Source organism: Homo sapiens, chromosome 2, assembly GCF_000001405.40.
Source record: "Homo sapiens chromosome 2, GRCh38.p14 Primary Assembly".
NCBI classification, from domain to species: Eukaryota; Metazoa; Chordata; class Mammalia; order Primates; family Hominidae; genus Homo; species Homo sapiens.
This window is the reverse complement of record NC_000002.12, coordinates 121,313,100-121,341,025: the sequence shown is the minus strand read 5'-3', so window position 1 is coordinate 121,341,025 and position 27,926 is coordinate 121,313,100. Positions and strand designations below refer to the sequence as shown.

The 27,926-nt window shown below is 47.5% G+C and overlaps 1 protein-coding gene across 35 annotated transcripts in view, besides 4 other annotated features; it reads left to right on the top strand.

Annotated features, from left to right (window-relative positions):
* The window catches only part of CLASP1 (cytoplasmic linker associated protein 1), a 311,687-nt gene extending 308,437 nt beyond the window's left edge, over positions 1-3,250 (top strand). For all 35 annotated transcript variants that reach the window (XM_047443792.1, XM_047443782.1, XM_006712383.2 and 32 more), the window contains one exon: positions 79-3,250. In XM_047443792.1, the coding sequence (XP_047299748.1) occupies positions 79-165 (87 nt within the window). In that variant the 3' untranslated portion in view covers positions 166-3,250. The remainder of the gene's footprint in view (positions 1-78) is intronic.
* Positions 3,840-4,425: an enhancer, noted in NCBI's record as "H3K27ac-H3K4me1 hESC enhancer chr2:122094177-122094762 (GRCh37/hg19 assembly coordinates)". NCBI's record gives its function as "activates a minimal SCP1, AML or CMV promoter by ChIP-STARR-seq in primed H9 embryonic stem cells {active_cell/tissue: H9 hESC(primed)}" and the evidence as "EXISTENCE:reporter gene assay evidence [ECO:0000049][PMID:30033119]".
* Positions 5,754-6,687: an enhancer, noted in NCBI's record as "H3K27ac-H3K4me1 hESC enhancer chr2:122091915-122092848 (GRCh37/hg19 assembly coordinates)". NCBI's record gives its function as "activates a minimal SCP1, AML or CMV promoter by ChIP-STARR-seq in naive H9 embryonic stem cells {active_cell/tissue: H9 hESC(naive)}" and the evidence as "EXISTENCE:reporter gene assay evidence [ECO:0000049][PMID:30033119]".
* Positions 5,754-6,738: a biological region, named in NCBI's record as "H3K27ac-H3K4me1 hESC enhancer GRCh37_chr2:122091915-122092848".
* Positions 6,549-6,738: a silencer, noted in NCBI's record as "silent region_11921". NCBI's record gives its function as "represses an Ori minimal core promoter by ATAC-STARR-seq in GM12878 lymphoblastoid cells {active_cell/tissue: GM12878}" and the evidence as "EXISTENCE:reporter gene assay evidence [ECO:0000049][PMID:35858748]".

Sequence of the window (27,926 nt, the reverse complement as noted above, 5' to 3'; positions counted from 1 at the left end):
ACCTGGGATTCTTTTTGCTGTTTTCTACTTTCTGATTGCTTTTCTTCCTGCTAATTCAGTTTCATCTTCTCTTTTCAGATGAAGCTACTAAACTTATACATAAAGAGGGCCCAGACCACCAACAGCAACAGCAGCTCCTCCTCCGATGTCTCCACGCACAGCTAATGGCAGTACCTGTCTCTTGTGTAGACCTAGAAGCAATCGGTGGTGCCTCTCAGAGACCTTTCCCCACCCCCTTCATCGGCTGCCCAGTCAGTACAAGGAGGCCCACAAATATTTATTACAATCAGTATTTTGGTCCCTTCCAGCTTTTCTGTAGAATCTTACTGGTATTGAATGTAAAGGAAGCAAGGCCTGTATTGCAGTCTTCATACAAAACAAAAGGAATAAGAACAGAAAAGAGCCATACTGAAACATGTCTTGTACAGCCTGCTGAGATGGCGAAACCCTGTGTGTGGGGTGCAGTTTTTAAAAATCAGAGCGCTCTAGCCACTACTTGGTAGAAAGTAGCATTTTTTTTTTCAGTTAATAACATATTTGGGGGTGGGGTGGGGTGTTACTTTGTGTTCTTCCTCCTTAGCCTATTTTCTTGTGCGTATGGTCTGTGTGGGGCCCCTTTCACAGCTGACACCACGAAAGGTGATATATCTTTAAGTTGTGTTCTGAGACCTACTAAAAATGGGAATCAAGTCTTGGCAAGAACAGTCTGAAGATGGCCTTTTAACAAACGCTGGGAATTTTGCTTGTCATATCCAGACTGGAGGCCGACTGCCCTGGCTTTCAGCGTAGAATTGGGAGTGCACCCTGACAGTCTCCTTCCAGCTCTCCCTAATCGACTCCACCGACAAGGTCCCTACCCCAGAGCTTCCATGCAAAGGAATTCTTCAAGTTTAAATCTGGACACAAAAATAAGATAAATGTATGGCATCATTTAGGGATGCCTGAGATGGCAGTTCATGAAGCACAGAAGATAAAGAAGAAGTCTTTCATCTTTACTGCTGAGATCCTTGGGAACACTGTTGTCATGGGGGCTCTGCCAAGACCCTCATCTCTGGGCTACACGGTGATTCAGATTGAGCACCAACTTGTTTCCTCCCCTCAAAGTTCTGCCTAAGCCGTTCAGTTCTAACATGGTCTCAGTTAATCTGGTAAATGGCATCTTTACCATCTTAGTTCTGACTTCTCAGTTTAATGTGGGATTAAGAGCCAAGAAAAGCCTAGAGAGACTGGATATCACAATTTTTTTTAATTTTATAAACTGAAGTAGTTCCTTGAATGTCTGTTGATGAAATAGTCACTGTTTAAGGAAAAAAGTAATTATGAGGTGTAGCAGATTGCAGAAAAACAGGATTAGAAACACACTTAAAAAGAACACACATTTAGAGTCTCTCTTCCTCCTCAGCGAACCACTAGGCCCCCTTTTTAAAAACACCTTTAGAGCCTAATTACTCCAATAAAAGTAACTAGAGGTTTGGAGTCTGGTTAAATAAATTCTGAGTAAAATTCTTAAGCCAAATGGAAATTCTTAATGCAATCATGAGGACTTCTATTGTCTCTTACTGTTGTATTAGATCCTATAAATTGAACTGATTTTTCCATAAGGAAAATGCTTCTTTTGAGATTAATTCTAATAACGTATTTGCTATTGCAGTGCAGAGCCCACTGCAACTGCTAGGACTGAAAGCAGAGGCTGGGTGCCAGAGCACGTGATTCTTAACATCATTTCCACAGACCCCTCTGCCCTGACCCTCTGCATTGGATGCAGGAAGCTGGGAAAGACTGATGTTGATTTGGAAACATGGGCTGAAAATGAAGGCCCCATAGTGCATAGGAACAGTAAAGCCAGGGTGCTGACGTGTGTGTGTGTGTGTGTGTGTGTGTGTGTGTGTGTGTGGTGTTGTGTGTGTTTGTGCGTGCACCCTACACATGTGTGGTACCTCACTGCTGCTGTTTAGGGAACTTGAGGGACGCGTTTCAAGGGGTTGGGTATTACTGACGAGCTTTGGCTCAAAATATAGCAGGACCAGGTCTTTTGTTGATAAGTACTGTTTGTTTATTAATATGTCATTAATGGTATTTCTTTTTTACACTCTACAAGTGAATTAGGGAGTCTCTTGTTGACCCCTTTGTTGCAGGAATGTGCGTCGGGCTAGGTTATCCATGAGTTTCTTTATTCCTAATGCAGTTAGAAAGACCTTTCTCCTTGAGCTCTTTGACTCCCAGAAGGTACCCCAGTCCCCAGTGTACTTAGAAAGGATCTCGAACATTGCTGGACGTCCTCATAGTACTCACAAAGGGCTAGCCTTGAATGTCACTCGCCCAGTCTTCAGTCTCCTGACTTAGAGATACAATCACGTCACAGGTCTCTTGGCCTCAATCTGAAAACTGCTGCCGCCGCGCCGAGGAGACTCGCATGCCGCCACCACCTCACTGGGAGGGCGCCGAGCCCACCGTCGCCCCCTAGACCCTGACAGCTGCAGCTGCCTTGCCTTGCCGCCGCCTCCCTGCAGGGCCCCTGTTCCAATGAAAAACAGAACACAAAAGAGCAGAGCACCTAAGCCTGTCTCTGCCTCCCTGTCTACCGGACTGGCCAGGGCCCAAGACCCCCGCTGCTCCACTGCGGGGCTGGGCGGGCTGACTCCCTGCTTCCTCCAAGCTGCTGCCTCCCCTGCAGCCAGGGTCTGGGCAGGGTGCAGCCGGTCCTCGGGGCACGCAGCTTCCTTCAAGTACACTGTGTGTGCTTCCCGGACCTGCGGCGATGCCACGGGCCTGCCTTTTCTATGCGCCTCACTAGCTTACCACCCTGTGCAGGTAATGCAACTGACTTTGTCTCATCAGTCTTTTTCTTTCCCTGCCACCCTTTATTTATCAAGCGTAATGTTACACTTTAAAGGACAGCAAATAAGAACTTTGTAGAATCCCACCAGGACTTTGCTAACAATAATGTTTGGAAATAAAGAAGTGCTCTGAAAAAATATCAGCCACCAAAATAGTTATGTTGGCACTGTGTTCACACGCATGGTCCCCACACCCCCAGGTTGGGTGGGTTTTTTTGTTTTTTGGGTTTTTTTGGGGGGGGGGGCTTTTTCATGTTACATCCATATCTGTATTTATATCTTATTTGTTTCACTTTCAAGTGTATCATGGCAAATGTACAGATTTTTTTGTTAATAATGTGCTAGGATTTGCTAAAAAAGAAAAAAAAAAAACCCTTTTGAGTTTGCCCTAGAATAAATGAGACTTAATTCAATGTTCTGCTTGATGATGTCTTTACCACCACCATGCCCTGCAGACAGCTGATCCCCTCCCCCTGCGATCAGAACACAGCCATTTCGATAAAGGATTCAGGAGGAATCATACATCAGAAGAGCTCTTTCCCCTCGTGACATCAAGAGGTCAACCCATGTAATCCTAGCATTCTGGGAGGCCAAGGCGGGCGGATTACTTGAGCTCAGGAGTTTAAGACCAGCCTGGGCGACGTGGCAAAACCCCGTCTCCACTAAAAATACAAAAATTAGCTGGGTGTGGTGGTGTGTCTGTAATTCCAGCTACCCAGGAAGCTGAGGTGGGAGAATCGCTTGAGCCCAGGAGGCAGAGGCTGCAATGAGCCGAGATCATGCCACTGCACTCCAGCCTGGGTGACAGAGTGATACTCCATCTGAAAAATATATATATTAATATACATTTTTTTAAAAAGGTCAATCTGGGGAAATATCACATCTGATGGAGTCGCCTGGGAGCTGGTTGCTGTGCCGTGTGTGCGGTGACAAGGTGGGAGGTGAGACGCATGGGCTAGAATCCCACCCACGCTCCTGGAGGCCATGTGAGCAGGGGCCTCCCTCATCGGCTCCATTTCCTCAACTGATCAGTGAGAACAGTGGCTCCCCGGAAAGGTAGAAGCAGGAGAAAGCCTCAGCCTCGAATCCCGAGATGAGCTGGAGAGCCGCTGAGAGCAGCCGGGCTCCCCTGCATGCCTGCGGTTCTTCTCTGCTGGTCACTGGGGACTGGAGCAGGCTAGGCAGGGCAAGAGCAGAGCCTCTGGGAGCAAATGCACAACATCACAGGCTCCACAGCCGCTGCTTTGAAGCCCTTTTTCCCTTCAAGTCTTAAAATTGTGGCAAAATACACGTAACACGAGATTTACCATCTTAACCATTTGTAAGTGTGCTGTTCAGTGGTGGTAAATATATTCAGGTCATTGGGTAACCATCACCATCATGGTGTTCTGGAATCCCTCTCTAGGGCTCTCAACTAGTAAAACAAACCCTGTCCCCATTAAGCATAACTTCCCCATTCCTGCCTCCCGCAAGGCCCCTGGCAACCAGCATTCTACTTTCCCTCTCTCTGAATTTGACTATTCCGGGCATCTCGCATAAGTGGATCATACAGTATTTGCCTTTCTGTGACTGGCTTATTTTGCTTAATACGTCAAGGTTCATCCATGTATGTATCAGAATTTCTTTTTTAAATTTATAAACACATGTTCACCTGCATTTTTTCACATTTTTAATTTCCTTCCTAAGGCTGAATAATATTCTGTTGTATGGATAGACCACATTTTGAAGCTTTACTTTTTACTAAAAAGTTGTTTTCCATCATGTTCCATGATTCGTCCCGAGTGCCACTATCCAGTGACACTGTGCCCCTTTCTCCTGTGGCCCACCACCTTGTACCCCGCCTGAGACGCCTCAGGATGCTCTGGATCACAGATACTTGGATTAGAATCCCAGCTCCACCCCTGCCCCCCGTGGGCAGATCACTTCCTGCCTCAGTCTTTTCATTTATGAATTGGGTTAAGAACTGCCTGGCTGTGTTCAAAACTATAGAGAAAAATGAAAAAAATAACTGCCTAGCAGAGGTGCCATGAGAGTTCATGGAGATGATGTAAGTGAAGCAGCTGGCCCGAAATAAATGCTCCCGATGGTCGCCTGCCCTGCCTCCTACTGTGGACCCGGAAATGCACAAGAGGGTGATGTCACCCGCCTTCCCCCCCCCCCCGACAGGCACACCTGCATGTGCAGTCAGAGACCATTATTTATTAGCAAAAGAAAAACCCTGGGCGGTGGGACCAGGTTCAGACACAGCAGCCCTGTTCAGCTTTCTATATGTGGTTCTCCAACTCTGGTGCCATTGCCCTACCTTACCAAGGGCTGCCAGGAAGTCCTTGCCATTTTTCAGAGGGTCACAGGCCACCAGTGAAGGGTGGGGTACTGAGGCTGTTAGCATTCTTGGCTGATGAACTTCACACTTTGCAAGATTCTGGTCTGTAGCATCTTGCTGTAGGACATGTCCTGAAATACTATCGACGGACGCACTGTTGTGTTCGGTTTCCAAATGAGGAAACAGGCACAGGAGGAGCCACGGCTACATAGTGACTGATGGAGTTGTGCCAGGCCCCGCTATGCATTTGGTCCAGCAGTGCTCCCCTCCCCTCATCAGGCCTTGCACCCTTCCATCTCCCCCTGGAGTTACGAGGACTCAGAGTGCACATCAGAACCCCTCGGGGCTTGTGAAGCAGATCACTGCCTGCCTGCGTTGCTGACCAGTAGGGCTGGGGCAGCCTGAAAACCTGCGTCTCTGCAGAGTACCCGGGCAGCGCCGCCGCTACAGGGCTGGGGACCCCACTTGGGATTGTAGAGCATTTTGCTTAAAATGTGACAGGTGGTTTGACCCCAAGGCTGGGGACAATCCTGCAGGCTGTGGCTGAAAACAAGGTATGGCCTCAGGAATGTCAGGCCATCCCTGTCATTACAGGTAACTATGGTGACCACCTAACTCAGCATGGGAGGACGAGAACTTTTGAAAGTGAAATGGGATGCTGTTAGCAGAGAAGACCATGATGGCCTAAGCCGCCTGGGCCAGAGCTCCCTCCTCAGGGGACAGCTCTTCCCCCGCAGGCTCAGCCCACCTCCTCCAGTATTTATTAACTCACTTCAGTGGCTCCAGGCAGGAACGGACAAAGGTCATGTGAATGGGTATCTCATCCCAGCTATGTATTTAAAAGACATTAAAATACTTCGTGCCATGCCCTCCTCAGCTGCAGGTGCCTGGCCTCCAGGTGGACTTGCCGGGCCCTGGAGCTCCTGGAGACACAGTGTTCCTGGGTCACTTCCCGGCAGTTCCGGGATGCCCTGCCTCCCCCTGTGCCCTGCCAAGTGCCTGGGAACAGTCTGGGTGGGGTGGGCAGTATGGCCTCCTACAGCGGTGGTTCAGGCTCTGCACCACCGTGGTCTCTGCTCCCCCACCGTGAGGACTTGGAAGGCTCTGGAGGTATGTCCAGGGCCAGCACTCCGGCCATGCCTCTCCTCTGGTCTCCTGCTTTCCTGTCTGCTGTCCTGCCATTTCCCCTGGACACCTGCTCATTCTTCAGTGGGAACAAGAACTGGGACCTATGAGTGCTTACTACTGCCAAGCTGGCCGGGTGCCGTGGCTCATGCCTGTAATCCTAGCACTATGGGAGGCTGAGGCAGGAAGATCTATTGAACCTAGGAATTCAAGACCAGTGTGGGTAACAGAGGGAGACCCCCTTCTCTACAAAAAGTTTTAAAAATTAGCTGGGTGTAGTGGCAAATACCTGAAGTCCCAGCTACTCAGGAGGTGGAGGCTGCAGTGAACCTTGATTGCACCACTGCTCTCCAGCCTGAGTGACAGCCAGAGACCCTGTTTCAAAATGACAAAACAGAAACCACCTGCCAAACTCTGTTCTGATGCTTTGCTGAGCTTTCTGATTTAATCCTCACAACAGCCCCATGAGGCAGTTCCTTTGATAATTCCCGTTTTGCACATGGGAAACAGTGGCACAGAGACTCTGAGTAACTCACTTGGGGTCACAGGTCTCTCTCGTAAGAGAACCGGGATTCAAACCCAGGAAGTCTAGCTCTGGACTGAACCGGAGTCTTTTGCTTTGTAACTCTGTCCCTTCCCTGAGCCTCTGTTCCATTTTCCATCCGCCTGACTCTTGTTAGCAAGTTCAGGTGGGCCGTGGTCACAGGCAGGCCCGCCCAGCTGTTTGACACCAAGCTCGTGGTAAACATTTCCGCAGTACTCCCGGGCAACTGCTCAGTGGGCCTGGTTGGGGAAAGGCCCGCCTGGGTGCTGGAATCTGGGGCTTGAATCCAATCCTGAGTGTTTTGAAGCCTGTGACTTAATAGCCAGATGACTCCAGCTTACGAAGACCTCAGTTTCTTCCTCTGTAAAATCCTAGGAGATGGGAATTGGGGAGGCAGGGCTGGGGTGTGTGTGTGAGGGTGTGAGGATTAGCACACTGTTAAAGTCTCTGACACCCTTCCGGAAGCCTCAGCAAATGTCAGCCATCATAATTCCTGTATTATTACTATCATGGAGGTCCCCGCCCCCGTTTCTGACACATGACGCTCAACAAAGTTCTGGACAAATGAACGACCGATGTAAAGTCTCTGCCCTATCACCCCCCAGTCCACGCGAAAGATTCACACGACAACCGTGGGCTTCCAGGCGGCTTTCCCACCTGGGAGGATGATGGGGCTGGGGACAGGACGGGGCCAGCATCCCCTCCCGTTCACCCCTCACCCCCAACGTCTGCCAGGAGCCTCCTCCACGCTGTCCCTGGGCTCCTCAAACCTAGTGCTGCCAGGCCTGGCTTCCCTGCCCGTCTCCCACTGCTCGCTGCTCTCTAGTCTGTGGACACTGATGCCAGGCTCTCCCCACCCTCCACTCCCCCTTCAGCCCACCCGCAACCAGCAGCCCCCCGCAGCCCCCTGCAAACAGCATCCCATGGAGAAGATGCCGCTGGGACCCTCTCCTACCCAGCCCTTCGCTCCCAACTCCCTGCATACTCCACCCCTTCTATCCTCTTCCCCAAAGCTGCATGGCTGCTGGGTTTTTCTTTTGTATTTGTATTTTTTGTTTTTTATTTATTATTTATTTATTTATTTTTGAGACGGAGTCTTGCTCTGTCGCCCAGGCTGGAGTGCAGTGGCGCGATCTTGGCTCACTGCAACCTCCTCCTCCCAGGTTCAAGCCATTTTCCTGCCTCAGCCTCCCAAGTAGCTGGGAGTACAGGCACCTGCCACCATGCCCGGCTAATTTTTTGTGTTTTTAGTAGAGGTGGGGTTTCACCGTATTAGCCAGGATGGTCTCAATCTCCTGACCTCGTGATCTGCCTGCCCCAGCCTCCCAAGGTGCTGGGATCACAGGCGTGAGCCACCGCGCCCAGCCTCCGTTTTTTTATTTTTTAGAGACAGGGTCTCACTCTGTTGTCCAGGCTGGAGTGCAGTGGCGCCATCGCGGCTCACTGAAACCTCAGCCTCCTGGATTCGAGCATTCCTCCTGCCTCAGTCTCTTGAACTCCTGGCCTCAAGCGATGCTCCTGCCTCTGCCTCCCAGAGTGCTGGGATTACAGGCCCATGCTGTTAAAAAAAAAATGTTCCTCTGATGTATCATTATTTCATGTCAAACCTTGCAATGCCTACCTCCTACCCGTCACTGCCATACACACTCTCTGGGATAAAATTCCAAAATCTCGAACATGGCCTACAGGGCTCGCCACCTGGCCCCTGCCTTCTCCACCACCCCATCTTGTGCCGCTGTGCCCCAGGCACTGCCTCCTGGCCTCGGGGCCTTTGCATTGCTGTTGGCTGTGCCTGGCCCCCTGTCTACACACACACCTGCACACATGCACGCATGCACTCACCTGCTCAAGCACTCCTCTGGCTAACTTCACAGATCCTTCAGGTCCCAGCTTAAGTGCCAGGCCCCCTTCCTTTTTTGGAGAATATTCTAAATTAGACCTTTTGTTTTTCCTCCCTAAACTTGTTACGCATTTTGTATCTATTTGTGCAATTATTTGTCATCTTAGTCATCTCTGTGGCTAAGAACTGGGCCTGTGTCCTTTACCTCTGTATTCCTAACACTTAGCCTGGCCCATGGTTGGTGCGGGATGGATGGATGGACAGATGGATGGATGGATGGATGAATGAATGAATGACTAGTTTGTGGTTCCCCAACTAGGATGTGGTCTCAAGGGCATGACTTGAGGCTTACAGTGTTTTCTACTTAGCTGGGAGCCCTGCCATGGTACCTGAGAACACAGTGGCTGCTACTGAACTGCCTGGGTTCAAATCCTAACTCTTGTGTGGCCATGGCAAGTTACTTCACTCTTCGTGCCTCAGTTTCTTCTTCTGCATGGAAAAAGTGCCAATGGCAGCAGTATCTACCTCATGGGATATTTGTAAATCACTGAAATAAAAGAGCACACGGCCAGGCATGGTGGCTGACACTTGTAATCCCAGCACTTCTGGAGGCCGAGGTGGGCAGATCATTTGAGGCCAGGAGTTCGAGAACAGCCTGGCCAACATGGTGAAACCCCATCTCTACTAAAAATAAAAAAGATTAGCCGGGCGTGGTGGCACACGCCTGTAATCCCAGCTACTCAGGAGGCTGAGGCACAAGAATCGCTGTAACCCGAGGGGTGGAGATTGCTGTGAGCCGAGATTGCACCATTGCATTCCAGCCTGGGTGACAGAGCAAGATTCCATCTCAAAAAAAAAAAAAAAGAGCAAATATGGCTAGGCACCGTGGCTCATGCCTGTAATGCTAGCACTTTGGGAGGCTGAGGTGGGAGGATCACTTGATCCCAGGAGTTTGAGACCAACCTGGGCAACATAGCAGGACCCCCATCTCAAAAAATACAAAATAAAAATAAAAATAAATGAAATATAAGAGCACGTGGCCACGACCTGCACATCCTGGCAGCCATTGTACTTTGTCGGGTGGGCAGTTGAGCCGGTTCAGTGGGGGAGCGTGCTTGGCCGTGGAGCCGGCCTGGGGTCTAACCTGGCTTCCCCATTTTTATCTGCAAACTCAGAGAGTCTTTTGGCTTCTCTTAGCCCTAAAGTTACAAGCAGCGTGACCAATGTGGAAAACAGTCTGTAAAGGAGAAGATGTGCGTACCTTACAACCCGCAGTTCTGCTTCTGGGGCACACCCTGGAGCAAAGGTGTGCAGAACGAGACACAGCACAAAGGCGCCCGGGGAGGAGAAGGGGTCGAGAAACTGGACTCCCCACGTGAGCGATACCATGAAGGGAAGAGGAAGGACCTGCAGCTGCATTTATCACATGGGGAATCGGGAATGCCGTTTTGGGGGGAAAGAGAAAGTCACAGAAGAAAGCACAGAGCATCTTGCCTTTTTTTTTTTTTTTTTCCTTTTTTGAGATGGAGTTTCGCTCTTGTTGCCCAGGCTGGAGTGCAATGGCGCGATCTCGGCTCACCGCAACCTCCGACTCCCGGGTTCAAGCTATTCTCCTGCCTCAGCCTCCGAAGTAGCTAGGATTACAGGCGCCCACCACCACGCACGGCTAATTTTTTGTATTTAGTAGAGATGGGGTTTCACCATGTTGGTCAGGCTGGTCTTGAACTCCTGAGCTCAGGTGATCCGCCCACCTCAGCCTCCCAGAGTGCTGGGATTACAAGCGTGAGCCACCGGGCCCAGCCGCATCTTGCCTTTTTTTAAGATCAAAATAACCAAAACAAAACCATGTATTTTCTTAGAGACACACATGTGTGGTAAAACTCTACAAAATGAGTGGTTAGGAAACAAATTCGGGAGAGTAACTGCCTGTTCGGGAGAGACGGGACTGAGACCGGGGGAGCATGTCCTCAGTTTCAATGACCAGATGATGTTCTGCTTTGTAATTTGGGGGTGGGTTCACAGGTGTGTGTTTTATTGTTACAGCCCATAACTATCATTTATGTTCTATGTTTTCTTTTGCATTATCAAATGTTTCATAATTTAAAGACTAAAATTGTGTGAGAATCCCAAGTTATAAGGTGGTTATTTAGGTGAGTCTCCATAATTTAGGTGAGTCTCCTATTGATTCTTTAGACAATCACAGACATGAAAACCCCCAAATGTAAAATTCCTGCAGAGAATTTACAGAGCCTTGAGAGTACCTCTGTGGACTCCCATCCAAGGAAAGCCACCCTGCGTGAGACTGCCCAGTGTCCTAACAGGCCTGTGTCTGAGGGGACGACTCCACATACAGGATACTGTCAGCTTTTGTGGGACACTTTCTGCACATGGCGGTGGGGAAGGGCTGGGCATTGCCCCTCTGGCCCGAGCATTAACGGGCTCTGTCTCCTTCGCCACCTGCTCCTCCTTGGCTCCTCTCTGCCTGGTTTTGCCTCCTAACAAAAGCCAAAGGGATTTGAAATGGTCTTGATGCTATCCAAATTAGCACTAATCACACAGGGTCCTGCTTTTCCAGCCAAGTCTGAGGTCCCATATTCTCTGTGAGACGTTTTCCAAAAGTATAGGAAAGAGGACGCAAGAGAGACACACTCAGAGAGGCAGGTGCACATGGGGTGGTGGCTACTCTCGAAATGTCAGGTTGCAGTGGGGAGAGGTTGAGTCTGAGGGCCATCCCCCCATCATGCCTGCCTCTATGGTGGGACCCAGCTCCCTCTCCCTCAATGCTAGGGCTTCGTGTATGGCTAGGTTCTGCCAGGGAGATAGATGCACCTCACAAGATGAGAAGCAGCTTTTGTTAAGGATGGACACAGTGGTGGTGACATTTGGTTCTTGTGGGGCATCTCAGTTGCAGGTTCTAGCTTGTCCTCAGTCTCAAAGCTACCAAGCTGCAAGTGGCAGCCGCCAAGATTTGGAAAGGAATTTTCCCTGTCTCTTGTTGTTCCTGGTTGGGTGGCACCCACCCCTGGCACCCTGGCCCTCCCAATGATGATGTCCACTACCTAAATGTCTTAAGAAGTCCCATTCTGCTTAAACTAGCTGGAGGGGGGCTGGGCACGGTGGCTCACACCTGTAATCCCAGCACTTTGGGAGGTGGAGGCTGGCAGATCACTTGAACTCAGGGGTGTGAGACCAGCCTGGGAAACATGACAAAACCTCATCTCTACCAAAAAATAAAATAAAATAAAAAATTAACCAGGCATGGTGGCACATGCCTGTATGCCTATAGTCCTAGATACTCCGGGAAGCTGAGGTGTAAGGATCACCTGAGCCCACGAGGCGGAAGTTAAAATGAACTGAGATTACACCATCGCACTCCAGCCTGGGCAATAGGACGAGACCCTGTCTCTAAATACATATGTAAACTAGCTGGAGGGGATACCATCATCTGTAATAGGGAACTCTGAGCCACGGAGAGACAAGACCACTAAAGCATCCAACTGAAGAGAAAACATCTCAACAAATGATGGCTTAGCCTTTTGGTGGAAGACCATCCAGCCAGTTAAAAGTGTATGTCCTAGGCACAGGCAAAGATTTCACGAAGAAAACACCAAAAGCAATTGCAGCAAAAGCAAACATTGAAAAATGGGATCTAATTAAACTAAGGAGCTTCTGCACAGCTTAAGAAACTATCATCAGAATGAACAAACAACCTACCAGAATTAGGGAAAAGTTTTGCAATTTATCCATCTGATAAAGGCCTAATATCCAGAGTCTACAAGGAGCTTTAACAAATTTACAAGAAAAAAAAAAACAAAGGACCCCATTAAAAAGTGGGCAAAGGACATAAACAGATGCTTCTCAAAAGAAGACATTCATGCAGACAACAAACATGAAAAAAAGCTCAACATCACTCATCATTAGAGAAATACAAATCAAAACCACAATGAGATACCATCTCACACCAGCCAGAATGGTGAATATTATTAATAAAAAGTCAAAAAACAACAGATGCTGGCGAGGTTGTAGAGAAAAAGGAATGCTTTTACACTGTTGGTGGGAGTGTAAATTAGCTCAACCATTATGAAAGACAGTGTGGCAATTCCTCAAAGATCTAGAGGCAGAAATACCATTTGACCCAGAAATCCCATTGCTGGGTATATACCCAAAGGAATATAGATTATTCTATTATAAAGATACATACACACATATGTTCATTGCAGCACTCTTCACCATAGCAAAGACATGGAATCAACCTAAATGCCCATCAATGGTAGACTGAATAAATAAAATGTGGTACATATACACCATGAAATACTAAGGAGACATAAAAAGGAACAAGATCATGTCCTTTTCAGGCACATGGATGGAGCTGGAAGCCATTATCCCCAGCAGTCTAACACAGGAACAGAAAACCAAACACTGCATATTCTCACTTATAAGTGGGAGCTCAAATATGAGAACACATGGACACATGGGGGAGAACAACACACACTGGGGCCTGCCAGAGGGGATGAGGGAGGGAGAACATCAGGAAGAATAGCTAATGCATGAGGGGCTTAATACCTAGGTGATGGGATGATCTGTGCAGCAAACACCATGGCACATGTTTACCTACGCAACAAACCTGCACATCCTGCACACGTACCCCTGAACTTAAAATAAAATTTGAAGAAAAAAAGTGTATGTCCAAAAAATTCTTCAAGACATGGGGATTACTGACAGTTAATATTAAGTGGAAAGTAGAAAGGTAGGGAGGATTTCCTCTTCTGATAATGGTGCGCTCCCAACTCCCTGCATACTCCACCCCTTCTATCCTCTTCCCCAAAGCTGCATGGCTGCTGGGTTTTTCTTTTGTATTTGTATTTTTTTGTTTTTTATTTATTATTTATTTATTTATTTTTGAGACGGAGTCTTGCTCTGTTGCCCAGGCTGGAGTGCACTGGCGCGATCTTGGCTCACTGCAACCTCCACCTCACAGGTTCAAGCAATTCCCCTGCCTCAGCCTCCTGAGTAGCTGGGACTACAGATGTGTGCCACCACACCCAGCTAATTTTTTGTATTTTAGTAGAGACGGGGTTTCACCATGTTGGCCAGGATGGTCTCTATCTCCTGACCTCATGATCCACCCACCTAGGCCTCCCAAAGTGCTGGGATTACGGGCATGAGCCACCATGCCTGGCATTTTTTGTTTGTTTGTTTTTGGAGATGGAGTCTCACTCTGTCACCCAGGCTGGAGCACAGTGGCACGATCTTGGCTAACTGCAGCCTTGACCTCCTGGGCTCGGGTGATTCTCCCACCTCAGCCTCCCAAGTAGCTGGGACTATAGGCGTGTGCCACCATGCCTGGCTAATTTTTTCTATTTTTAGTAGAGATGAGGTTTCGCCATGTTGGTTAGGCCAGTATTGAACTCCTGACTTCAAGCAATCCGCCCACCTCAGCCTCCCGAAGTGTTGGAGTTACAGGCACGACCCACTGTACCTGGCCAGGTGGGGCCTTTAAGAGGCGATTAGGCTCCACTCTCATGGATGGGCTTAATGTCATTAAAAAATGGCTTCCAAGGTTGAGCATGGTGGTTCACGCCTATAACTCTAGCACTTTGGAAGGTGGAGGCAGGTGGATCACTTGAGTCCAGGAGTTCAAGACCAGCCTGGGCAACATAGGGAGACCTCATCTCTACAAAAAATAAAAGCCGGGCTTAGTTAGCGTGTGCCTGTAGTCCCAGCTACTCTTGGGAGGCTGAGGTGAGGGGACTGCTTGAGTCCAGGAGGTTGAGACTGCAGTGACCCATGATTGTGCCACTGCACTCCAGCTTGGGTGACAAAGTGAGACCCTGTCTGGGGAAAAAAAAAAAAAAAGAAAAGGCCTCCAGGAGTGGATTTTTGCTCTTGCCCTTCTGGCTTGGACCGTGGGATGATGCAGCATGAAAGCCCTCACAAGATGCTGACACCATGCTCTTGAACTGCCCAGGCTCCGGAACTGTTTGCCAAATACATTTCTGTTTATTGTAAATTGCCCAGTCTGTGCTATTTTGTTATAGAAACATAAAATGGACGAAGACACACATGCATTAAGGAAAGGTTATGTGAGGACACAGAAGAAGAGAATCATCCACAAGGCTAGGAGAGAGGCCTCAGAGGAAACCAACCTTGCTGACACCTTGATCTTAAACCTCTAGCTTCTAGAACTCTGAGAAAATAAATTTCCGTTTTTTAAGTCACTCAGTCTGTGGCATTTGATATGGCAACCCTAGTAAACTAACACAACCCCAACAGATGATATGGTTTGGCTCTGTGTCCCCACCCAAATTTCATTTTGAATTGTAATCCCCACGTGTCGAGGGAGGGAGGTGTTTGAATCATGGGGGCAGTTTCCCCCATGCTGTCCTCGTAATAGTGAGTGAATTTCACGAGATCTGATGGTTTTCTGTTTTTGTTTTTGTTTTTTTTGAGACGGAGTTTCACTCTTGTTGCCCAGGCTGGAGTGCAGAGGTGTGATCTCGGCTCATTGCAACCTCCGCCTCCTGGGTTCAAGCGATTCTCCTGCCTCAGCCTCCCGAGTAGCTGGGATTACAGGCATGTGCCACCACACCAGGCTAATTTTGTATTTTTAGTAAAGACGGGGTTTCACCATGTTGGTCATGGAGTCCCGACCTCAGGTCTCAAACTCCCAACCTCAGGTGATCCGCGCGCCTCGGGCTCCCAAAGTGCTGGGATTACAGGCATGAGCCGCCATGCCCACCCAAGATCTGATGGTTTTATAAGCATCTGCCATTTCCCCTGCTTACACTTTCCTCTCCTGCCACCACATGAAGAAGGTCCTTGCTCCCCCTTCACCTTCCGCCATGATTGTAAGTTTCCTGAGGCCTTCCCAGCCATATGGAACTGTGAGTTGATCAAAGCTCTTTCCTTTATAAATTACCCAGCCTTAGGTAGCGTCTTTATAGCAGTTTGAGAACAGACTAATACAACAGGGTTCTTAAGGTCAGGCCATTCTGGGCCAGAAACGAGAGGATTAGCACCTGGAGTGGCCACAGGACATTTTTCTCACCACCAACATACCACAGCTTTATCAAGGGAGCTCAGCACTGAATTAATTCCCAAGAAGAATAAAAAGGAATAGGAGGCATAAATCTTGCTCTCAAAGAGTTTACAGTGTTATTGAGGAAAGAGATGGCATTTACTGAAATAGTTGCTGTGTTCCCACCAAAAGGAAATGAAAGTCCAGTTCCTAAAGGAGAACTCTCCTGTTTTGAAGGGTCTGACCTCACTGTAGAGCCCAAGTATGCCCCATTGCACGCACAAACACACAAAAGTTTCATTTTTTAAAACTAAACTATCGAAATGGTAATCAATGCTTATGACGTATTAAGAGACAAAAGCCATTTGCAAAAGTATATATATAATATAAACCCAATTTTATTTTTTTGACACAGGGTCTTGCTCTGTTGCCCAGGCTGGAGTGCAGTGGTGCAACCTTGACTCACTGCAGCCTCCGCCTCCCAGACTCAAGTAATCCTCCCACTTCAGCCTCCGGAATAACTAGGACTACAGGCAGGTGTCACCATAACCGACTAATCTTTGTATTTTTAGTGGAGACGGGGTTTCACTACGTTGCCCAGGCTGGTCTTGAACTCCTGGGCTCAAGCAATCTGCCCACCTCAACCTCGCAAAATCCTGGGATTACAGGTGTGAGCCACTGCACCCAGCTCCCCCAATTTTATTTTATATATGTGCATATATGAAAGAAAATATATAAACATGTTTCTGTGCATTCTGTAATCATTTCTATTGCTGCATAAAAATTTACCATAAAATTAGCAGCTCAAAAAACACAAATGTATGATTTCATAGTTTCCATAGTCAGGAGTCCAATCTTGGGTTCTCTGACTGACTCCTCTGCTCAAAGTCTTCTAAGACTGAAATCAAGATGTTTACTGAGGCTGGGCGTGGTGGCTCACACCTGTAATCCTAGCACTTTGGGAGGCCAAGGCATGAGGATCACCTGAGGTCAGGAGTTCGAGACCAGCCTGGCCAACATGGTGAAACACTGTCTCTACTAAAAATACAAAAATTAGCTGGGCATGGTGGTGGGTGCCTATAATCCCAGGTACTTGGGAGGCTGAGGCAGGAGAATCGCTTGAACCCAAGGGACAGGGGTTGCAGTGAGCCGAGATTGCGCCACTGCACTCCAGCCTGGGTGAAAGAGTGAAACTCTGTCAAAAAAAAAAAAGAAAGAAGGAAAGAAAGAAAGAAAGAAAGAAGGTAAGTTGGCTGAGCTGAGTTCCTTTCTGGAGCTTAGGGTCCTCTTGCAGGCTCACGTGGTTGTTAGCAGAACTCAGTTCTTTGTGGTTGTAGAACTAACGTCCCTGGATTCTTGCCAGCCATCAGCCAGGAGATGCCCTTACCTCCTAGGGGCGGCCTTTCCTGCCACTCTCTTCTGCCTTGTGGCCCTCTCCACACGTGGTAGTTTGCCTCCTCCTCTTGGTCCATGCCGGCTGCTATAATATCATAGAGTACCATAACCTGGGGGCTTGTCAACAACAGGAATTGATTTCTCACCGTTCTGGAGCCTGGAAGTACAAGATCACAGCGCCAGCAGATTCGGTGTCTGATGAGGGCCTGTTCCTTAAGGACAGTGCCTTCTCCCTGTGTTCTCCTTGGTGGGAGGGGTGAGAGCTCTTTCTTGGGCTTCTTCTAAGGGCACCAGTCCCATTCACGAGGCTTCCACTGTCATGACCTCATCACCTCCACAAAGCCCCACCTCCAGATACCATTACCTCAGGGGTAAGGATTTCAACACAGGAATTTTGGGAGACACAGTCAGACCACAGCACTCTTTAAGGCCAACAGAAAAGCATCTGCTGCAGCTTCATCTCTCTCTGACTTCATCCCTGACCTCTAGACCCGGAGGTAAAGGGCTCATGTGATCAGGTCAGGCCTGCCCACAGGCAAGGGAAGGACATTCTACAGCCATCTGGCCAGTGGGGCAAGAATCATGGGACCCACATTGAATTCTGCCTATTTACCCTGAGTAGAATTAGGGAGTGATCTAACCTAAGTTATTATTTTACATTTTTTTAACTTAGTTGCTAACTTGTATTTTTAGTAGAGACGGGGTTTCACCATGTTAGCCAGGCTGGTCTCGAACTCCTGACCTCAGGTGATCTGCCAACCGGGGCCTCCCAAAGTGCTGGGATTACAGGTGTGAGCCACCGCACCCGGCCTCACTTGCAGAATTAATCCCTACTTCAATAAGAAAAAAATCACTGCCCCTTGATAACGGAGGGGACCCAGTACAATCAACCCCCAGCAGGTGGCAGACTGGTCCCCCAGGGTATGATGCCATTTTGAAGGCTTAGGGTTGATTTCTGCAGTAGGTCGCTTGGGCACTCTGTAGTGGCCATAGCTAAATTGGCTCTGGAATGGTCAATTCCATGCTGTTGAACCAATATATAACCTCCATCCCCTGCCACTGTTCCACTCTGTCGATGAGTAAGTACTGGTTAGGGAAAGAGATTATTTAAAACCTCCTCTGCAATGGGCACCCTTTGGGGAACATTCACAAAAGACACAAATATCCTCACATTGTGGGTTCATTCTATTTCTTTCTTTAACCCTCTTGTTACCAGTCTTTGCCCGTCTTGCTTTTTCCAAATTCCTGACCACTGACCGTTAGCTACCACACACAAATTAGAGAGGTCCACACCTCATATCGTCTCTCCTGGACAAGAGGATCATACGTGATGTAATCCTTGAGGTTCTGGGCTTTGGGGAGGATTTCCCGTCTCCACTGTCCTCAGAGTCCCACTGAGTAGGGCTGAGCTCCGCAGAAGTTCATCTTCTTTCTTTTTTTTTTTTTTTTTTGAGACAGAGTCTGTCTCTGTCACTCAGGCTGGAGTGCAGTGGTGCTATCTCTGCTCACTGCAACCTCTGCCTCCTGGGTTCAAGTGATTCTCCTGTCTCAGCCTCCCAAGTAGCTGGGATTACAGGCACGTGCCACCACATCCGGCTAATTTTTGTATTTTTAGTAGAGATGGGGTTTCACCATGTTAGCCAGGCTGATCTCAAACTCCAGACCTCAAGTGATGTGCCCACCTCGGCCTCCCAAAGTACTGGGATTACAAGCATGAGCCACTGAGCTCGGCACTTTCTTTCTTTCTTTTTTTTGAGACAGGGTCTCATTCTGGTTGCCCAGGGTATGGAGTGCAGTGGCATGATCTCGGCTCACTGCAGCCTTGACCTCCTGGGCTCAGGTGATTCTCCCACCTCAACCTACCAAGTAGCTGGGATTACAAGTGTGTGCCACTATGCCCAGCTATTTCTTTTTGTATTTGTAGTAGAGTCATGCCCAGGCTGGTCTCAGACTCCTGGACTCATGTAATCAATCCACCTGCCTCAGCCTCCCAGAGTGCTGGGATTACAGACGTGAGCCACTGCGCCCGGCCCAGAAATCCATCTTCTGCTGGTGCCAGCATATTGTTCAGAGCCATCAGACACCAGACTTCCTTGCTTTCCTCCCCTGTCAACTGCTCGTGGGGTGTTTGTGGGGAGGAAGGGTGACAGGAGTAGGCATACTGGGTGGGTGACAACCTGCTCGTGCAACTTGCTTGTGCCTGCAGGACTTGCACGAGCCTGCTCCCATCCATTCGAGGGTGGGGTGCTGCTGGCATACAAGACTCCATGGCTTGGCAGATCAGACGACATTCAGTGCACGTTGGGCTGTTCAGTTCCATGTTCACAGTAATCTAGTATCTCATGGATATTCACTCTCAACCACAATGAAAGCTGTTTCTCGGGAGACTGGTTACTCACAAAAGAGGGTATGGCTGGCCAGGCACGGTGGCTCATGCCTGTAATCTCAGCACTTTGGGAGACTGAGGCAGGTGGATCATGAGGTCAGGAGTTCAAGACCATCCTGGCTAACATGGTGAAACCCCATCTCTACTAAAGATACAAAAAATTAGCTGGGCGTGGTGGCACACACCTGCAGTCTCAGCTACTCGGGAGGCTGAGGCAGGAGAATCGCTTGAACCAGGAGGTGGAGGTTGCAATGAGCCAAGATCGTGCCATTGCACTCCAGCCTGGGTGACACAGTGAGACTCCATATCAAAAAAAAAAAAAAAAGAAGAAGAAGAGGGTATGGCTTTGCTCCAAAGCCACCACAGACACATTGAGCACCACGGGATGCATTGAGGTATAAGCGCATCCTGTAAGATGTCTGAGTGGACAATGAGGTGGCACAGTTCTCTATGTCGTGGCCCAGAACCAGAGAGGTGACATCGTTCCAAGGCAAGGTACCAAAGGAGTGTTTAGTTCCTTGTCAGGTACCAGTAAACTTCTGGATCTTTTTGGGGTCATAAAAATGTTCCAAAGAAAGCATAGTGATAGTTGCACAACTTTGAGAATACACTGAAAATCACTGAATTGTATACTTTAAAAGGGTAACGAGTATGGTATATAAATTATGTATCAATTTAAAAGAAAACTCCTAGCCAGGTGCAGAGGCTCGCACCTGTAATCCCAGCATTTTGGGAGGCCGAGGCAGGTGAATAGCTTGAGTCCAGGAGTTTGAGACCGGCCTGGGCAATATAGTGAAACCCCATCTCTACAAAAAAATACAAAAATTAGCTGGGTGTGGTGGTGCATGTCTGTAATCTCAGCTACTTGGGAGAATGAGGTGGGAGGATTGATTGAGCCTGGGAGGTAGAGGCTGCTGTGAGCCGTGATAGTGCCACTGCACTCCAATCTGGATGACAGAGCAAGACCCTGTCTCAAAAAATAAAAATAAAATTCCTAGTGTTTCCTGTTTCTATTCAGATCAATAGCTGAATGCCAGGTACCAGGGTCTATGATTTGTATCAGTAAGGAGAGGGTCTATGGAAGAGCTGCATTTGAAGTCACCACCTTATTAAATTTCCCAGTACCCAAGGATCAGCTGTCTTGTCTACAGGCTAAATATGTGAAGTCCGCGAGGCCACAGTACGGATGACCTCTGCATCTTTGAAGTCTTTGATGGTGGTATTAATCTTTGAAATTCAAACAGGGATGTGGTGCAGCTTTTAATAAACTATTTTCATAGACAGGAGGAACCCAGAGGTCTCTGTTTAGCTCTTCCAACAGTAACAGCACTCTCTCCTGGGTCAAAGAGCCCCAGCCAAGATTCTGAAAGTTGTTAAGGCACAGCAGCCACAGGATGTGTTTACAGACCTACCGGTCACACAAGATGCCCCTGGGCCCAAAGTCCACCTATTATCACCTGATGCCCAAAACACCCATTTGACAAATGGACTGCAGTAACAATTCTTTTTTTCTTCCTAGGAATTTGCATGAGCTCAGATCGTGTCCAGACCAGGTGCAGTAGCTCACGCCACCTAGCACTTTGGGAGGCCAAGGTGGGAGAATGGCTGGCATCCAGGAGTTTGGGACCAGCCTGGGTAACAGAGAAAGACCCTATCTCTACACAAATAAAAAATAAGCAATTAGCCAGGGGTAGTGGTGTGCAAGAGGCTGAGGTGAGAGGACTGCTTGATCCCAGGAGGTGGAGGCTGCAGTGAGCCATGATCACACCACTGCCCTCCAGGCTGGGTGACAGAGTAATAAGACCCTGTCTCAAAACAAAAACAAACAAAATAATTTTTAAAAAAGATTGTGTCCAGTGCACAGTTACTCTGGTAAACATCCACATGCACCTTTAGGGAAGGCCCAGGTGACGACTGAGAGTCCATCCTCGTGATGATAGCATGGGGTTTTTCTCAAGACTTCCAGCCTCCCCTGCACTCCTGGGAACCCAGGCTGGAGACTGAGCTCTGGGAATTGGGTGAGGGGCAGGGACTCTGTATTGTGCCTTCTCAGGTCACATACATATCCGTCCTCAACACCTGGAGCTTTTTGGTTGCATAAATCAAGTAGGAGCTTAGCTGGGCTGCCACATCTCATTCAGTCCCAGAGACCCCAGGCTCAGACAATGTCACCAGAAGTCTCATGGACTTGCCTCTGGAGGAGCTGCTACATGGCCTCTGCCACCCATGATCCCTCCCTCCCTGCCAAACACAGGGCCCCTTTCAGGCAGTGTTGTCCATGTCACCACAGGCTTTTTTTTTCTTTTCTTTGTTCTTCTTTTTTTTTTTTCGAGAGGGTCTCATTCTGTCACCCAGGCTGTAGTGCACTGGTGCAAACATGGCTCATTGCAGCTTCAACCTCCCAGATTCAAGGGATCCTCCCACCTCAGACTCCGGAGTAGCTAGAATTACAGGCACACACCACCACGCCCACCTAGTTATTTTATTTATTGTAGAGATGGGGTCTCACTGTGTTGCCCGGGCTGGTCTCGAACTCCTGGGCTCAATCAATCCTCCTGCCTCAGCCTCCCAAAGTGTTGGAATTACGGGCATGAGCCACCATGCTCAGCCTCAATATGTTTTTGAAATAGATCCTGCAGATTTTGCTGATGGATTGAATATAGAGCGAGAGAAAAAAAAGAGCTGAGGTTGATTCCAACATTTTTGGCCTGAGATCTTAAAAGGCTGGATTAGGCAATTATACTTGATCCTTGAACAACACGGTTTCAAGCTGCATGGGAACAGCTACGCGTGGATTTTCTTCCACCTCTGCCAAACCCTCCTCTTCCTCCTCCTGAGCCTATTCAACATGAAGATGACAAGGATGAAAACCTTTATGATGATCCACTTCCACAGACTGAATAATAAATATATTTCCTCCTTCTTGTGATTTTCTTAATAACATTTTCTTTTCTCTGGCTTACTTTAAGAATACAGTATATTTTATATATATGTATATGTGTATATATATGTATATTTTATATATATTTTATATACGTATATTTTATATACGTATATAAAATATACATATGTATATAAAATACATATATATGTATTTTATATATGTATATTTTATATATATGTATATATGTATACATATATATATATAAAATATGTGTTACTCAACTCTTTTTTTTTTTTTTTGAGACGGAGTCTCGCTCTGTCGCCCAGGCTGGAATGCAGTGGCACGATCTCGGCTCACTGCAAGCTCCGCCTCCCGGGTTCACGCCATTCTCCTGCCTCAGCCTCCCGAGTAGCTGGGACTACAGGAGCCCGCCACCACGCCCGGCTAATTTTTTGTGTTTTTAGTAGAGACGGGGTTTCACCGTGTTAGCCAGGATGGTCTCGATCTCCTGACCTCGTGATCTGCCTGCCTCAGCCTCCCAAAGTGCTGGGATTAAAGGCGTGAGCCACCGCACCTGGCCTACTCAACTCTTTATCATATTGGTAAGGCTTCCAGTTAATGGTAGGCTATTAGTAGCTAAGTTTTTGGGGAGTCAAAAGTTATATGTTTATTTAGGCCGTGCCTGGTGGCTCATGCCTGTAATCCCAGCACGCTGGGAGGCCGAGGTAGGCGGATCACTTGAGGTCAGGAGATCGAGATCAGCCTGGCCAACGTGGTGAAATCCCGTCTCTACTAAAAATACACAAATTAGCTGGGTGTGGTGGCAGGCACCTGTAATCCCAGCTACTCAGGAGGCTGCGACAGGAGAATCGCTTGAACCAAGGAGGTGAATGTTGCTGTTAGCCGAGATCACACCACTGCACTCCAGCCTGGGCAACAGAGCGAGACTCCGTCTCAAAAATAAAAAAGCTATATGCCCATTTTCAACTCATGCAGGGTGGGGATCAGTGCCCCAACCCCTGCACTGCTCAAGGGGCAACTGTACAGAGATGGGGAGGGCTGTCAGGGGAGCAGATTCAGGAAGTATAGTTAAGAGTTTTGGGAATTCCAAGATCTGAAGTAAGTACACTTATTTTCAAAACAGATACAGGTCTGAAATTTTGTTCCTGCCGACTTCATCTCTCACTCTCAGAATCCACCCCCACATAGACTCCCCGAGTGCTTTTTGTTCCTGATATAAAATACCAAAATCTTACTATCACTTCTGTGTGTAAGCTTGTCCCCCCAGGTTTTCTTTGTAAGTATTGTCCTAAAGTATGCTAGGATTTGGAGGACACTCCAAGGTCAGGAAAGGATGGGCGTAAGGAGGATTGTCACACCTGTGCAAGGGCCTTCAGACAAGGCTGGAGCAGCCTCCTCCTATGGGGGAGTGAGTATCTCCACTGGCAGGGCAGGGAGATGGAGACGGCTCAAGAGTACGGGATCCTTTGTGTCCCTGAATCCTCCTCCTAGGCAGTCCTCCCCCAACACCTGAGGCCCTGCTTTTTGTCTATCTGTGCCTTATTAAAAGAGGAACCTAGGCTGGGCACGGTGGCTCACGTCTGTAATCCCAACACTTTGGGATTCCGAGGCGAGTGGATCACCTGAGGTCAGGAGTTCAAAACCAGCCTGATCAATATGGTGAAACCCCGTCTCTACTAAAATTAAAAAATTAGCCGGGCTTGGTGGCATGCGCCTGTAGTCCCAGCTATTTGGGAGGCTGAGGCAGAAAAATCGCTTGAATCCGGGAGGCGGAGCTTGCAGTGAGCCAAGATCGTGCCACTGCACTCCAGCCTGGGCAACAGAGCGAGACTCCGTCTCAAAAAAAAAAAAAAAAAAAGAGGAACCTAGTGAGGCTGGAAGCTCAACCTACACTGTGATTCAGCGACCTGTAGAGTCAAGTCTGCTCCCGAGTTCTGGCTATGTCAATCCCAAAGCTTTAAGACATAAAAGATTCTCAGTGGTTCTTTGCTGGTGGTAACTTGGAGATGTGTGGTATTTTTGGTTGTCAAAAATTATCAGAGGGGCCGGGGTGGTGGCTCACACTTGTAATCTCAACACTTTAGGAGACTGAGGCGAAAGGATTATCTGAGCCCAGGAGTTTGAGATCAGCCTAGGCAACATAGTGAGACCCCCATCTGTATGAAAAATTTAAAAATTAGCAAGGTGTGGTGGCACGTGCCTGTAGTCCCAGCTACTTGGGAGGCTGAGTCGGGAGGATCATTTAAGCTCAGGAATTTGAGGCTTCAGTGAGACTTGATTGTGATACCTAGGTGACAAAGCAAGACTCCAACTAAAAAAAAAAAAAAAATTTGCCTCCAAGACTTGTATACTTTTTGATGGTATGATGGTATAAAGGGAAATTATTTTAACTTAAATCTTTAATTATTTGCACACTAAATTGTACTGTGTGACCTTTCTAAATTATCTTTTAAATTCTTGTAATTATTTTGCAGAGTTCTTAAGAATAGAGACAATTTTAATTCTTCTGGTCTGTGTCTCTTTTTTTTTTTTCTTCTTGCTCTGTCACCCAGGCTGGAGTGCAGTGGCACACTGAAGCCTTGACTTCCCAGGCTCAAGCAATCCTTCCATCTCAGCCTCCAGAATAGCTGGGAATACAGGTGAACATTAGCAGGCCCCGCTAATTTTTGTACTTTTTGTAGAGACAGGGTTTCGCCATGTTACCCAGGCTGGTCTTGAACTGCTGGGCTCAAACAATCCATCCTCCTCACCCTCCCAAAGTGGTGAGATTTTAGGGCTGAGCCACCTCACCTGGCCTGCCTTTTTCCCCACGTTTTTCTTGCCTTCTTGCACTGGCTAGGGCCTCTAGCACAATGCTTAGGGAAAGCAGACATCCTTACCATGTTCTTGATATCAGGTGGAAAACGGGGTACATGTTTACACTGAAATAAACTAGATTCCAGGCCATAAAACAAATCTGAATAATTGTTTCTTTTTTGAGACGGAGTCTCACTGTTGCCCAGGCTGGAGTGCAGTGGCATGATCTTGGCTCACTGCAACCTCTGTCTCCCTGGTTCAAGTGATTCTCCTGCCTCAGTCTCCCCCAGTAGCTGAGATTACAGGCATGTGCCACCACGCCCAGCTATTTTTTTTTTTTTTGTATTCTTAGTAGAGACAGGGTTTCACCATGTTGGTCGGGCTGGTCTTGAACTCCTGACCTCAAATTATCCGCCTGCCTTGGCCTGCCAAAGTGCTGCGATTATAGGCATGAGCCACCGCTCCCAGCCACAAATCTGCATAAGTTTTTTAGAAGGACTGATATCATGCAGGGCATGTCCTCTGACCACAGTGGAATTACACTGGAAATAAATATCAGTAATATTGTCCACACCATGTAAAATGCAGAAACCTTGGCTGTGCTTATGTAGATACATGTACTCTCCCCATCCTTTAGTAATTGTCATATGTATTACCTTGACATATGCTGTAAACCCCATACGCAATGCCATGATTTTTGCTTTACACAATCAAATGCATCTTAAAGTCATCAAGAGGACCAGCCTGGGCAATATGGCAAAACCTCATCCCTACAAAAAATACAAAAATTAACTGGGCCTACAGGTGCACCTGTAGTCCCAGCTACTTGAGAGGCTGAGATGGGAGGATCTCTTGAGCCTGGGTGGTGGAGGCTGCAGTGAGCTGTGATCACACTATTGCACTCTGGCCTGGATGACAGAGCAAAAGCTTGTCTCAAAAAAAAAAAGTCAGCTGGGTGCGGTAGCTCACACCTGTAATCCTAGCACTCTGGGAGGCTGAGGTGGGAGGATCACTTGAGGTCAGAAGTTCAAGACCAGCCTGGCCAATATGGTGAAACCCTATCTCTACTAAAAATACAAAAAAATTAGCCGGGTATTGTGGTGTGTGCCTATAATCCCAGCTACTCAGGAGGCTGAGGCAGGAGAATTGCTTGAACATGGGAGGCGGAGGTTGCAGTGAGCCGAGATCGCGCCACTGCACTCCAGCCTGGGTGACAGAGAAAGACTCCATCTCAAAAACAAACAAACAAACAAACAAACAAGAGAAAATTGTATATTTATATTTATACACTTTTTTTTTTTTGAGATGGAGTCCTGTCTAGGACAGAGTGCAGTGGCACAATCTCAGACTCACTGCAATCTCCACCTCCTGGGTTCAAGTGGTTCTCCTGCCTCAGCCTCTCCAGTAGCTGGGATTACAGGTGCCCACCACCATGCCTGGCTAATTTTTGTGTTTTTAGTAGAGATGGGATTTCACTGTCTTGGCCAGGCTGATCTCAAACTCCTGACCTCAGGTGATCTACCCACCTTGGCCTCTCAAAGTGCTAGGATTACAGGTGTGAGCCACCTCGCCTGGCTATATTGATACACATATTTAGGATTTCTGGTGCTCTTCATTCCTTCCTAGATATTCTTTCTAGTATTATTTCCTTTCAGCCTGACAAACATCTTTTTGCATTTATTATAGTGCAGGTCTACTAGTGATTAATTGTCTTTGTTTTCATTTATTTGAAAATATCTTTCTTTGGGGGCGGGGGTGGGACGGAGTTTCACTCTTGTTGCCCTGGCTGGAGTGTAATGGTGCGATCTCGGCTCACCACAACCTCCGCCTCCTGGGTTCAAGCAATTCTCCTGCCTCAGCCTCCTGAATAGCCGGGATTACAGGCATGCGCCACCACGACCAGCTAATTTTGTATTTTTAGTAGAGACAGGGTTTCTCCACGTTGGTCAGGCTGGTCTCGAATTCTCGACCTCAGGTGACCTACCTGCCTCGGCCTTCCAAAGTGCTGGGATTACAGGCGTGAACCACCGCGCCCAGCCAATTCTTGTTTTTTTTCAAAGATATTGTTCCACCGTCTTTGACTCTCATTGTTACTGATGAGAGGAACACACATTTTTTTATCCTTGATCTTCTGTATATTATGTATTATTTTTCTTTATTTCCAAAGCTTTTGCTTTATGTTTGATTTTCACCTATTTGACAATCATATGCCTTGTGATTTTTTGGTATTTATTTGGTGTGGGGTTTGCTGAGCTTCTTGAATCTATAAATGTGTGCCCACAAAATTTGAGACAAGGTTGGCTATCATGTCTTCAAATATTTTTGCCACCTCATTTTCTTTCTCTTCTTTTTCCAAGACTCCAAATACAAGGGTACTAGGGTTTTTAAATATTGTTTACAGTTCCCTGAGATTGTGTTTTTATTTTCAATTTTTTGTTGTTGTTCTGTCCTTCAGATTAGATCCCTTGATCTAGCTTCAATATCACTTATACGTCTGTCATTTATAATCTGCTGTTAAGCCTATCGAGTAAATTTTTGTTTCCGATGTTATGATTTTTAGTATAAAATTTTTAATTGATTCTTTTTTGTAGTTTCTGTTTCTCTGCTAAAGTTTTAAATTTTTATGTAGTCCCATTTGTGTATTTTTCCTTTTGTTGCCTGTGCTTTTGGTATCATTACTAAGAAGTCATTGCCAAATTCAATGTCATAAAGTGTTCCTCCTATATTTTTTAGAAGAGTTTTATAGTTTTAGCTCTA